The following is a 13,138-nucleotide window of genomic DNA, read 5'->3' as shown; positions in this document are numbered from 1 at the left end:
GCAGGGAGAGATCATGCGTTTCTGCTACTGTCCTAATTATTGTTCTAATTGCCGGGACTTAGATAATGGTAGCAGGTAATTAACACACAACTTACTCTTGTTTTCTCTACTGATGATCTAGATAGAAAAGCATTTTTAATGTTTATAAATGGTCATTGTAATGGCTTCGTGAACACGCAAACCCAGCAAAAAGGACTGTCATGCTGTGCTGGTGAGGTGACTTGCCTGGGCTCAGTTGCGGGAGGGTGAGGCACGGATAGATGGGGGCCTTCAGACCTGGGTGCATTTCACCTTTGCTACCAACCTCCTGCACAAACCAGCATTTGTTTGATTTATGCCACTCTGATTCTCTGGCAACTTATTTGCCATTAACTCCAAGTGAGTCGACTATAAGCATGTTTTACATACTGGAAAATATGAATCATTTATAGTTTTAACGTTGCAGTTTCCTAAGAGCCCTGTGGTGCCCAGTCCTATAAATCAGAGCATGGAGAGGCTGGCCTCATCACTCACCTCATCAACTCTCTTACACTCCAGTGCCAGATTTAGAAAGCCATTGCCCACAGAGGTGTCATCTGTTTGGGACCAGGCTGTCTGAGAACCACTCCCTCTAGGGATGGCCGTTGACTCTTATGCTGCCGGGTAATGGTTGTGAGGTGAGGCTCTACTGGGTTTGATTAGGCCTGGTACACACTTCTCATGGCCTAGGGTGAGAACACTATACACAGTCTATTGTGATTTTCATGAAGGTCCACAGCTGCCTTGGGGCCCCCACACAGTAGACTCTGTTAGTGTAATCCTCCATCGAAGAATGCAGGTTGCAACATTCAGTTATGCTATGTGTATCGCCTATGTGCACATACACCTTAGGTGATACCATTCAGAAATTTAGGGATAATAAATCAAATGTTAGTCTCTTAAAAACATGAGCCACATTGCTTCATTCCACCCGTCAGCTGAGTTGCTGCTGTAGATGTGTAACCCAAATAATGTGAGACACAGAACGTCTTTCATATATTAGAAGCTGAAGTTGCAGTCCTTCCTAGAAGTATTAGCCTACATTGGAGAAAGAAGGGAAGGATCCCTCATTTGTGGCTTCTTTTGGGAATATTTAGTCTTCTTTCTTACTGAACCTAGAATGTAAAGTTAGACTAGCCCAAAAGGAACTCAATCCATAAATATTCAGAAGTACCAAGGCCCAGTGTCCAAGATCCCATGCTTGGGAATATTTAAGAGAGTTACTGTGTTTGCTCTTGTGGGTAGAGGATAAAACAGTAATGGGGCAGGGCAGGGGAAGAGAAGCTATTTGTCAGATGCTTGCTTCACAGCCTTCAAAGTAACCCATACCTCTGGTAGCTTAGCAGATAAATAAGAGAGGAGCTATGGTGCTCCTTGCATGGCTGTTTTTGGATGGCAAGGGTCATAAAACTCTATTTTTTTCCTCCAAATTTGCTTCTTTATTATTTTGTATTTTCGCTATACCCAATATCCACGCCAAAACTGCAAAGTCATCCTGGACTCTTCACAACATCTCTTAGGAGTAGGTTGCTCTGGGTCTTGTTACCTTAGCAGCTTCCTCATCCATTTGCCCCTCTCCATTCACACTGCAAGCCCCTCTTACCTTTCCTCTTGGAAGATTACAGCTGTGGTCTAGGAGGTCTCCCAGCCTCAAATTTCCTCTCCCATCCAATCAGCTGAGCTGCTGCCATGGAGATTTTCTACAACAAAAAGCAGAAACTGTCACCTTCCTGTTTAGAACCCTTCATTCGTTCAGAAGTTTAAACCCTGTATTTTAGAATACAGAACACAATTTTAGCATCTGCCTTCTACTCACTTCCCCCACAGATACCATTCAGCCTATCTGGGCTCTCCCGGCAGTTTCTCACATGTTGTGCGTGAGCATCACAGGGCTCCGGGGACCCTAGCTGACAATGTTCCCCCCATGACACTTGAGTGTCCTGCATTTGCTTTCCTAGCTCCTCTTCTGGATCCATCACCGAGAGCACTCATTCACACTCCACAGTAATTGTTGGTTTACTTCTCAGATTATCAAGATGGGACTGTAGATTAAGCTCTGTTCTCAGATCTTCGCATGGTCCCTGACACACTGTAAATGCCTCATACATTCCTAAAGGACAGACTGACATTCTTGGTGACTGATCTTCTAGTATGAATTTTCAAGTCTTTCCAAAAGTAATGTAAAATTATGATCTTTTCTCCCCCCTCCAACTCTTCGTATGGGTTGCAGACCCTTCTGCTTAAAGAGGACATTGGAACATTTAAGATTCTTTAAGAGCTTTTCCAGTGCAAGCCCTAACCCCAGAAAGGCTTTAATCCTAGAGAGCCTTGCAATTCTATCCTACCCTTTCTTGCGTAACATACATTGATAAGACTATGGTCTTGTCGCCTCATATTGGTCCTATGCTTCCTCTTTTGAGATTAGTTATAGGTAACTATTCATTCAGCATTTTCTGCTTTTCATCTAAGTCCTTTTTGGTGAGCCGAGGCATTGATCTGTATATTTTCCCAGGTGGTGTCTGTAACTGCTTCGCTCACTGTGATAGGAAGTGTACATGCTCTGGGAACTTGGGTCCTGAATGACGCCTCATGGGTCACATTTAGAAGGGGAGAAATGCAGGGCCCTTCTTTCAGAATAGCTCAGCATCTGAATAAATACGTCTTCCCCAGACTCATTACAGGATCAAATGCTGTCAGTCTTGTGAGCTTTTTGCTTCTTATGTATTTATAAAGACTGATGATACCCCTGATTTCAGTCATGATAAATGAATAAATTGTTTAATATTCATTAAGAAGTAATTTACACAGAGTTTAACTTTTTCATCTTGTCCTAATGCAGAATTCCTATGAATTTCTACTTTTATACTTCATCAGATAATTTTCATAATAATGGGTTATTGAACTTTAAAACAAGATTGTGTTTTCTCTTATGGATATTCCTTGCTTTCATTAAATGTCATCTAAAAAAAGATTGTGGATTATGACCTAGTCGTGGAATAAATACGAAATCAATTGATGTTAGAAATTAATTAAAACCCAAATCTCCCTAAAGGTAGAGGCAGCACAGGGTGTATAAGCAAAGAAAATATCTTTCGGTATAGAAAGAAGTAGGCTTCAGCTTTGTTCCTATGTAAAACCATTTTTGGTGAGAGATGGCAAAATTCCTTGGTAATGACGTTATGAGTTGACCAAGACTTTCAGAAATATCAGTTAATCATCATCTCAACACCAAAATGAAATAAATGGCTGTTAGTAGATTTTCTCCTTTTCTGAATTCATGTCCAACTGTTTCCACCCATTTTCATTTATACCCCTTCCTCTGGTGGTTGGCCTGGAGAGTATGTCGCTCTTTCCAACTTAGTTTTGCAAAGGGAACAAGTGCCCAACCACTCAGACAGTGAGCTACTGTGTGTAGGTCAGTACTCACCTTTAGCTTTTAAGATCTGTCTTGCCACATTTTTAAGGAAACTTTAGGTTGTCTACTTAATGAGTGCCTGCTTTGTTCTAAATACTGAGTTGTAAACTATGTCTATGTGTGTAAGTTAATGTGAAAAAGTAAACAAATATCTGGAGAATGTGATCATTATAGACCATTATGTAACTCACTGAGCAAAAATAGTAGCAATATCACTTTAGTAAGAGATTTTTTTTTAAATCACTTGTCTGTAGACATTTGCCTCAAGTCTTCAGTTTGCTTAGCCTGTATAAATACACCTTTAGAGAATGCTGCATTATGAGGGAGTTTATTGCATAATTTTTCTCGTGTGTTAAAGACTGGGGCTTTCCATTTGGGTTTAGTCTCTTGTTTGGGCAGCAGGAGATAGATAACTTGTTTAGTATACTTGTGTTAACTTTCTGTTCCCGAAGGAATTTCTATACCATGCATTTATTCATCATGCTAGAACTCCTTTAAAAAACAGCCCTGTTGTCAACAATGGAAACCATGCCCTTGGAATTCCTTGAGTCTACCTATGTGACACCTTTTATAATTGTTGAGATTGTTAGGTAAGGAATGTTCCCAAAGTGGGTCTTTTTCAGCTGTCTTTTTATTTTCCTTGTGATTATATGTGAAGGTAGATGACACATTTTCTTTTTTACAGATTTTTACATGAGTTAGCCCAGATTCCTAATTTTGCTGAACGTGCCCAGTGCATAATCTTCAGATCTGTCTTTTCTGAGGGTATCACCTCCTTGCACAGAAAGGTAGAGATCATCACGCGAGCTTCTAAGGTATGTTTACTGTCTAATTTAAAAGATAGCCTTGCTCTGAAGAGTAAAGAAGAAAGTGGGAGAGACCACTTTAATGCCATTATAGAAACCTTTTTGGACTCAGATTGTATGTTTTTCTAAGTGTAAATTTGATGATTATCTTGCCCGTGTGTGTGTGTATGAGAGAGAGGGAGAGAAAAGGAGATGCAGATGGATGAAGAGGGAGAAGGAGGGAAAAAAATGACACTTTTACAGATTCCTTCTAAAAAATTCTGAGTATCTTCCAAAGTACATACTGGCCACTAAAAACCAATCTAAATAGCATGGTCTGTTTCTTATTTTACAATTTGGATTGCAGAAGAGATTTTGCTTGAGATCCATACATTTGATCATCTGAAATGTGTCAACCTAATAAGAGGATCCTAGAGACTTGATAAGTGAAATAAATGACTGACAGTGAGTCATTGGCAAAGAAATATTTGTTGGCTTTACTACACTGGTGTTCATTATAAGGTTAAATTCTAGCACCTGCCTTTTTCTCACAGTTGACCCATGCTCTTAAGGACACGTTATTCTTCTCCACAAATACTGTAGTACTTTGTTCCTTATTTGGAGAAATGATTTTTTTTCCTCTAAGATATGAGATATTTCAGTAGAGAATAAATATTACTGAAATATAATTATACACGCACTAATAATACCTGAAAGGCAGGAGCAGAAAAAGAAGTCTGCCTGGAGCTGAATTTTTTTTCTTTCTTTCTTTCTTTCTTTTTTTTTGAGACGGAGTCTCATTCTTCTTGCCCAGGCTGGAGTGCAGTAGCGTGATCTCGGCTCATTGCAACCTCTGCCTCAAGGGCTCAAGCGATTCTCCTGCCTCAGCCTCCCAGGTAGCTGGGATTACAGGTGCCTGCCATCACGCCCAGCTAGTTTTTGTATTTTTAGTAGAGATGGGGTTTTACCATGTTGGCCAGGCTGGTCTTGAACTCCAGACCTCAGGCAATCCACCTGCCTCGGCCTCCCAACGTGCTGGGATTACAGGCGTGAGCCACCGTGCCCAGCCATTACTTTTTTTACCCTGAAATAAAGGGGGATAAAATGTGAATTAAGACCATAAAGAAAAAAAATTTCAATTGGAAAATTGTACTTGAAGTAAAAAATAAATAAAAGGACAAACAAATGAGACAGGGAGACAAAGAAAATCCTAAGCAGCTTGAAATTGTAAAAGTTAATAGACAATACAACAAGCACTTAATAAAGTAAGTTTAATAAATTTATTAAAGATGGCCTACAGCCTTAAAATGCATTATTGTAGTTTAGCTCTGAAAATTATATCCGGGGATAAAGAAGAACATACTTCTTCTGTATCTGCTCTGCATTTAACTGTATTGGTTATCTAGATAAATAGTCCTGAAATACATCCTCAAAAGGTAAACCCCTTTCTACCTAGAAGTCATCAAAGGTTAAGCCTTACTATATATACCAACTCCCTTTTTACAACTTCTACTTTAAAATAAGTATTAAAAATTAAACTGGCTCAAATGAAAATATAAAACCAATAGTTAATCCTCATGTATTAAAACATGCACTGTTTATAATTAATTTGAGTGGGTAGAAAATAATGGCTGTTAATGTGTTTGTAAAGACACTCATGGCTTAGTAAAGTGTGTTTTTCATTTCAGCAACTGTTAATTCTGTTGGTACCAAGCCTCCCGACAGCCTATTGAGTACACAGTCGATATTTGTTACTGAATGAACATGGGTGCATTTGGAGTTCAGCTCCGTAATAACTGGTGTTTGCCATCACAGGACTTGCTGCACGTGAAGAGCGTGAAGGATATTTTAGCTCTCATCTTGGCTTTTGGAAATTATATGAATGGAGGAAATAGGACTCGGGGACAAGCCGATGGATATAGCTTAGAAATTCTGCCCAAACTCAAGGATGTCAAAAGTCGGGTATTTATTTTTCATAATAAGTTCCCATGATCTGCCATTATTTTCTTTCTTTACCTTTAATTTTAAAAAACGTATTCCAGATTGTTCCATTTATCTCTATCCTCCCCTTAACAACATTTATATTAGAGCATGCATTTTTTTGTTTGCTTTCTTTTCACTTTCGAATAAAGAGTTTTGTTTGGTTTTTTTTTTTCACGTTAGACTTTATTTTCAATTACTCAATTCCCATCTTCGTGTGCTCTGACATACACAATCAGGTATTGAACTGCTACTCAGTGAGAGAACAAAACAGATAGCATACAGTACCAGGATCCTGCAAAGGCTGGAGGCTGTTTGAGTTTAGTGTTGGCTACTAGTAGTTTACTCATTCCTGAATGGCAGAGCAATGTTGAATCACCAATTTTTTGCCACAACAATTGGGCTGGGGTCTACTGTCAAGCTCTCTGAGCCTGATTATCACTTGGCTCCACACCCCTGTGGCGCTACCTCTTTAGAAACAATCAGCCCATAGCTAGGCGTCCCATGGGGGGCAGGGGGGTGCAGGGAGGGGAAACACACAGGCAAATTAGAATTAGGCCCCAGTGAGCAGGACACAAAGGCTGCCTTGTGGGAGGGCCTGCTCCCCACTGGCCTCCCGGGGTCATAAAGTGGTGTGGTGCTCCTTTTAAGCTGGCCTGGATTGTTTTTCACACCATTAAGAACGCACATTTTTTGAAAGACGGGCAGGGAGGGTGCTTTTCTGTTCTAGGCCCTGGTTCCCTTTAGCATTCCCCGCACCTCCTGTCTTGGCTGTGTGCCAGAAAATACAAGGACACAACTTTTTTGTTTGTTTTAGCCATTATTTCAGAAGTTTTATGGATTATCTGTTTGTTTTTCCCCACAAAGGATAGTACAGTGTCATTTCTTTATGTAGCCAGCATAATAAATGGATGGGATAAAGCAGAGGAAGGAAAACCTTGCCAGCATCGAAGAGAAAGCCAGTTTTCACGAATTAGAAATTTCTCAACTGAGATTTCACCTCTCAACCGTGTAACATGACAGTCTCATGGGAATGATTTTCATGTACATTTCTCTTTTAAACCTAGGATAATGGGATTAATCTGGTGGACTACGTTGTTAAGTATTACCTGCGTTACTATGATCAGGTAAGAAATGGTATTACGTGGAAAAGTTTCACCTCTTACTCATTGTTGACATTCATAAGTTGGATGATGGATAGATGGATGAACGAACTGCAAGCCCAACATAGAATATGAGAGCTCTCCAGCGTGGTTTACAGATGAGCACACTGAAACCAAGAGAGTTTAGTTGACTTATGAAGAGAAGCATTATTCAGTGGTGTAAATCTACTGAGTCTCAATCGACTATAACACAGCTTCAGAGAGACCCCTAGCTGCCTCAGTGCTTTATGGCCAGATTGTGAGGTTCTCTGTGAAATCTAGATCCGCTCAGTAATTGGTTATAATTGAAACTGTATTCTGATGATGCAAAGCAAAATTTAGGAAAGTAAGACTCAGTAATACCCAATATTTTATCAGTAATGAATCTATGAACAGACTGAAGATGTAGAATTTGAAAAATCCATCTTTTCTGCTTAGAGGGCATTTGCAATTAGAAATAAACATTTCTGTGTGAGTCCATCTGAGCAGAATTTTCTATTTTATTCCTTCTTGTTAAATTGAGAACAAGGAGTTGTAATTTTGAGAAGAAAAAGGTATTGTTGTAAGATGTTAAGAAATATAGCAATCGATATGAATAGTAAAAGTCTCAAAGTAAATGCTGTCAGGACTTCTGCTTAACCATCCATGTAAGCATAATTGTTCCTAAGCATCGAGGGAAGAATAGTAGAGATCTCAGGGCCTTTCAATAGGCCTGCAGTTTCATCCAGAAGACAAGTGAGGCACTGATGAACTCCATAATACTTTCTTCTACCCTCCTGGTGGGCTTATCTAACTATTTTCAATATACCTACAGCCAGGCTCATCGTTTCCCCGCCCCCCAAACTTTTCCCTGATTTCTGTTAAGAATATCGTAGTTTTTGATAGTTTTTGGCTATTAAGGCATGAAACCTTGTCCTTCTCTGGCTACTCTCTGTCCTTCCACTGAGTTGTTTCTGATGTCCTTCCCTGTTTTGTTTTTTGTTTTGTTTTCCTGCCGACCCCAGCTTACCCAGGTTTTAAGACCACTCACTTGGAGAATTTCACTTGCTTTCCAGCTCAGCTCTCTATTTCGAGGTTCTACCACTCTAAGCCATCCCACACCCTCTTTACACAGCTCTGATCCTATTGCTTTTCTACTCAAAACAGAAGTGGCTCCCCATTTTCAAGTGAATTAGGACTCTACGAATTTAATTCCAATCTTTTACAACCTTGCTTTTATTACTTTCCCTCTACACGTATTCTGTGATCCAACTCAAGACCTGATGTTTTCCACACACACCCTGTGCTTTCTTACTAATGTGTTTTTACTTCTGATGTTCTCCCTCACTGAAAGTATCTTTGTCTCTAGCCTTTTTATAAAACTTCCTTTTTTTCTCATTACTCCTCTCTGGAAATAATAAATTTAAAGATTTTTTGGGAAAAAGTCTCCCAGTAACATTACCAATATATGTGTTACAGACTTAACCAGACAAGTACAGACCTTTGTGAATACATTCACGTAATTTTACTGAAAGCCATAAAAATTTAAAAACAGACTGAAGAAAAGAAAAACCCAATTTTAAAAATTGGGTAATGGGCTTGAATAGACATTTCTCCAAATAAGACAAACAAATAGCCAACAGGTGCCAACATCACTAATCATCCAGGGAAATGCAAATCAAAACCACAGTGAGATAGCCCATCATGCCTTTTAGGATGGCTGTTAATAAAAACTAAAACCAAAACCCTACCACATGGAAAATAGCAAGTGTTGACAAGGATGTAGAAAAAATGGAACCAGTTAGCACCATCAGTGGGAATATAAAATGGTGGAGCTGCTATGGAAAACAGTAGGGAGTTTCTTCAAAAAATTAAAAATAGAACTACCATATGATCAGACAATCTCACTTCTGGGTATTTATCCAAAAGAATTGAAACCAGGATCTCAAAGAGACATTTTCCCTCTCATATTCATTGAAACATTGTTCACAATCGCTAAGATTTGGAAACAAATCTAAATGTCTGTCAATAGATGAATAGGTAAAGAAAATGCGTATATGTACTAGGGAATATTATTCAACCATAAAGAAGAAATAAATTCTGTCGTATGCTGCAACATGGGGTCAGCCTTGAAGGTATTATGCTAAGTCAATATAATCCAGTCACAGAAGGGCAAATACTGCATGATTCCACTTAAATAAGTATCTAAAGTAGTCAAACTGAAAGGAACAGAAAGTAGAATGAATGATGCGGGAATGGGGAAATGGAGAATTGAGGATACGGCGTTTCAGTCACGTAAGATGAAGAAGTTCTAGAGATCTGTACAATAATACACATGGCTAACAATACTATACTGTACACTTAAAAATTTAAGAGAACAGATATCATGTTATAGGGGGTTTTTTTTGTTTGTTTTTTACCACAGTAAGGAGTGGCATTATGTCCTCTGTTGGAAGTACCAGTCAAAATTCTAATCAATCTTAGAAGTTTACAAAATAATTTTAAATATTATGTATAAAAATAATTAGACAAAAATTTGACCAGGATTTAAAAATGAAGAGAGAATCATTCATTTATATATTCTAATATATTATAGAGCTATAATAATTAAAAGTGTAGAATGATAGACTAACATCACAAAACTTAAGAACATGAAAAGGAAATCTCAGAAATGGATCTAAATAAATATGTGTCAAGTATGTGATAAAAGAGAAATTTCAAGTAATTGGTAAGAGGAAGAAATTGAATTATCTCCTAGATCTCATACCAGAGACCAGAGCAAAGTTTTAAAGAACAGAAGAGATAAATGTAGAAATAAATGAAAAATAAAATCAATAAGACATGACAAAAGTGTAGGTAAATAGTTTACTGATTTTGAAGTAGCAAAATCCTTTCGAAGTGTTCAGTCTAAGACACAAACCATAAAAGGTGAGAATGATGACTTTCAATGCATAAAACTAAAAAACTTCAATTCCTAATTAAAATTTTAAAATACTGTAGTATCTCAAAAATGACTTAAAACTAAATTCAAAATAATGTACTGGTAAAATGTTTACAACATAATAGACAATGAACTCGAGAATTAACAAGAAAAAAAACTTTCTTCCTTATTTTTAAAAAATGGCAAAATATATCACAGGCAATTTACAAAAGACATATAGAAGACATAAATTGCCAACTAGATATATAGAATTAGCACTGTAAATTGATCAAACCTTTCTCAGGACTGTCATGTATGGTAAATCAATATATTCTCTGTTTAAGGTCTCTAAGTCAAATGGGACTCATATTTAGCCTGCCGTTGATTCACCAAATTATACATCCTATAAAGGGCACACTTTAAAAAATTCACATAAAGATGCCATGTGCTTGTCAAGCTGTTTGCCCATAAAGCTGTTCCTACCTACAGGAACACATTTTCCTAATTTATACATGTATGCTTTATGGGCAAGCAAGGTTGTGTTTTTGTTTTTTTTTTTCCTTCCTCTTTTTGTTTCCCTTTTTTCCCACATTTTTTCATTTTTTCCTTTTTTCTTCATGTCAGACAGGTAATGTGTCCATATCTTAACAAGGTTCAATGGTGGCGCATCTCACACATGCATACGAACACCCAATCCATCACACTCATGAATCTCAGGATCATAAGCAAGGTTTTCAACCTTTCTGTATCAACAGCCCTAGAAATACGTGTAACCTTTTAAGAAATTTCTACCCTAAGAAAACAACTAAGGATTTAATGACTATTTACTTATAATAGCTTATGATAGCAAAATATTGGAAAAATTTTGGTAGGTGTACAATGATGGAGACCAAGGTCAAATAAATTATACTAGAGTCACACACTGGAATAATATACTCTTATGGAGAGTGTATAGGAGAGAATATAGTGGTATTAGAAAATAATTTTGATCTGCTTTTAATTTACAAGCAGTGTTTCAAAATAACATATAGTATAATACCAAATATGTAGTAGATAAATATAAATACACAGAATAACCTGAAAAAAATACATTAAAATGTTTCTGAATATTAGGATTGTAAGCGTTTTTTTTTTTTTAACTGTCTTCTCTCTTTCCATTACTAAACATAATGAACATGTATCACTTTTGTAAACAGGAAAAAAGATGTAGTGAAAAATAACTTAGTCTAATCTTACATGGCCCTTTTTTGAGGTCGTTATTAACATCCTGATCTTTGAAGGAAGGCTTTGAAGCCTGAGAAGTACTTTGTTTGAATCTTTCTCAAGATGCATCTTATTCTGCCTTGTATGTATATATGAGGAATTACCTATTATCTTGGCATTGGTTTTTGAGGTTCAGAATTCATTGTTGTCTCTCTTTTTTTTTTTTTTTAATTGAGATGGAGTCTCGCTCTGTCACCCAGGCTGCAGTGCAGTGGTGCAATCTTGGCTCACTGCAACCTCCGCCACCCAGGTTCAAGCAATTCTCGTGCCTCAGCCTTCCAAGTAGCTGGGACTACAGGTGTGCACCACCACACCTAATTTTTTTTGTATTTTTAGCAGAAACGGGGTTTCACTATGTTGGCCAGGCTGGTCTCGAACTCCTGACCTCAAGTGATCCACCCGCCTTGGCCTCCCAAAGTGCTGAGATTACAGGCATGAGCCACCATACCTGGCCATTGTCTCTTTTTTACTGCCTGTAATACAGGTGTCTGATAAAACTTGCTGAACTGGATATAATGTTAATATTCACAAACGTGTAATAAGTGGCATCTGTAAAGAACTAGATATGAGGAGATGAGAGCTGTTTTCTGGTGGAGTGAGGAAGGCATGTTTAGCTTCAGGAAATTAAGAAGCAGCAGCGGGCACATAAGCACATACCCTAGGTTTTGACAGCAGGTACTAGTGTGGCAGAAGAATTATCCTGAAGAATCTTTGAGGGTGACATTTCTAACCCTAGGTTGGCATGGGCAGATTTATTGGTAGTACCTACCCCAACCAAGTCAAATGCATTGTGTGGGAAGGCTGAAATATGCCTGTGGAATATAGTTGTGGTTGAAAAGAGCTGAACCCAGTGGAATCAACTTCACAGAGGAAAATCTTACAATGAGAACAGTTTCAAACATGGGATGGCCCAGTCTAGGAAAAATAAGCCCACAGTAGTGTGGTGCTCTTCTGGCTTTTACTGTGCAAAATGCATTTCACTCAACAAGAGGGTAGAATTATGTGATTTATGAAACTGGCCCTTTCCTCTAGGAGCCTAAGTGATGACTTTTTTGGTTAGTGGTGATGAGCAATTAGCTAAAGAAAGATGACTCCTGCTCCCTGCTTCCTTATTCTCATGCCTGGTTTTTGGTCCAAGTCTTGGTCTGTGAAATTTAAAGAAACCCATGTAGAGTCATGCCTTTTTAACTCTAATTAAGCAGCTTTCATAAGAGCTGCTACCAGCCTGATACACTCAGCAACATTTCCTTTTTTCTAGCGCGCGCACGAGCGCGCACACACACACACGCAATCAAAACCAGGACTGAATCTGATAAAGTTTTGGAAAATGGAAAGAGATACTATGCCTGAGTTCTTCCAGCATAGATTAGCATGGAGCTTTGTAGTGAGGATCTTAGATGTTGTTCCATCTTGGCACTCAGATGAGAGTACTGCTTCCATTTTAAAGTAGTAAAATAAGTATATGAAGATGGGGGAAAAAAGTACATTGTGTCTGATAAAATGAAGAAAACTACTGTATCCTAGTATCCCTAACAAAGCTAATGGCCTTAAAGAGGAAGGGTCAAGAGGATTCCTGAAACTACAAGAAAACATAGTGATAAATTAGATGTCTCCTGCTAAAGGTACATACATCTCA

General features: G+C 38.2%; 1 protein-coding gene and 1 non-coding gene across 17 annotated transcripts in view, besides 2 other annotated features; one reads left to right on the top strand and one right to left on the bottom strand.

Moving 5' to 3' along the window:
* Positions 1–13,138, top strand: part of FMN1 (formin 1) — a 429,171-nt gene that overhangs the window by 288,556 nt on the left and 127,477 nt on the right. For all 16 annotated transcript variants that reach the window (XM_011521509.4, NM_001277313.2, XM_011521504.4 and 13 more), the window contains 3 exons: positions 4,119–4,248; positions 6,034–6,180; positions 7,266–7,325. In XM_011521509.4, the coding sequence (XP_011519811.1) occupies positions 4,119–4,248; positions 6,034–6,180; positions 7,266–7,325 (337 nt within the window). The remainder of the gene's footprint in view (positions 1–4,118; positions 4,249–6,033; positions 6,181–7,265; positions 7,326–13,138) is intronic.
* Positions 6,168–6,697: an enhancer, noted in NCBI's record as "OCT4-NANOG hESC enhancer chr15:33191663-33192192 (GRCh37/hg19 assembly coordinates)". NCBI's record gives its function as "activates a minimal SCP1, AML or CMV promoter by ChIP-STARR-seq in naive and primed H9 embryonic stem cells {active_cell/tissue: H9 hESC(naive and primed)}" and the evidence as "EXISTENCE:reporter gene assay evidence [ECO:0000049][PMID:30033119]".
* Positions 6,698–7,227: an enhancer, noted in NCBI's record as "OCT4-NANOG hESC enhancer chr15:33191133-33191662 (GRCh37/hg19 assembly coordinates)". NCBI's record gives its function as "activates a minimal SCP1, AML or CMV promoter by ChIP-STARR-seq in naive and primed H9 embryonic stem cells {active_cell/tissue: H9 hESC(naive and primed)}" and the evidence as "EXISTENCE:reporter gene assay evidence [ECO:0000049][PMID:30033119]".
* LOC124903606 (small nucleolar RNA U13) lies at positions 10,858–10,959 on the bottom strand. The gene has a single exon (XR_007064832.1). It is a non-coding gene; the product is annotated as a small nucleolar RNA U13 (small nucleolar RNA).

The sequence above is a fragment of the Homo sapiens genome, chromosome 15, assembly GCF_000001405.40.
Source record: "Homo sapiens chromosome 15, GRCh38.p14 Primary Assembly".
Taxonomy (NCBI): Eukaryota; Metazoa; Chordata; class Mammalia; order Primates; family Hominidae; genus Homo; species Homo sapiens.
Note: the sequence above shows the minus strand (reverse complement) of the source record. Positions and strands in the feature narration are given on the sequence as shown.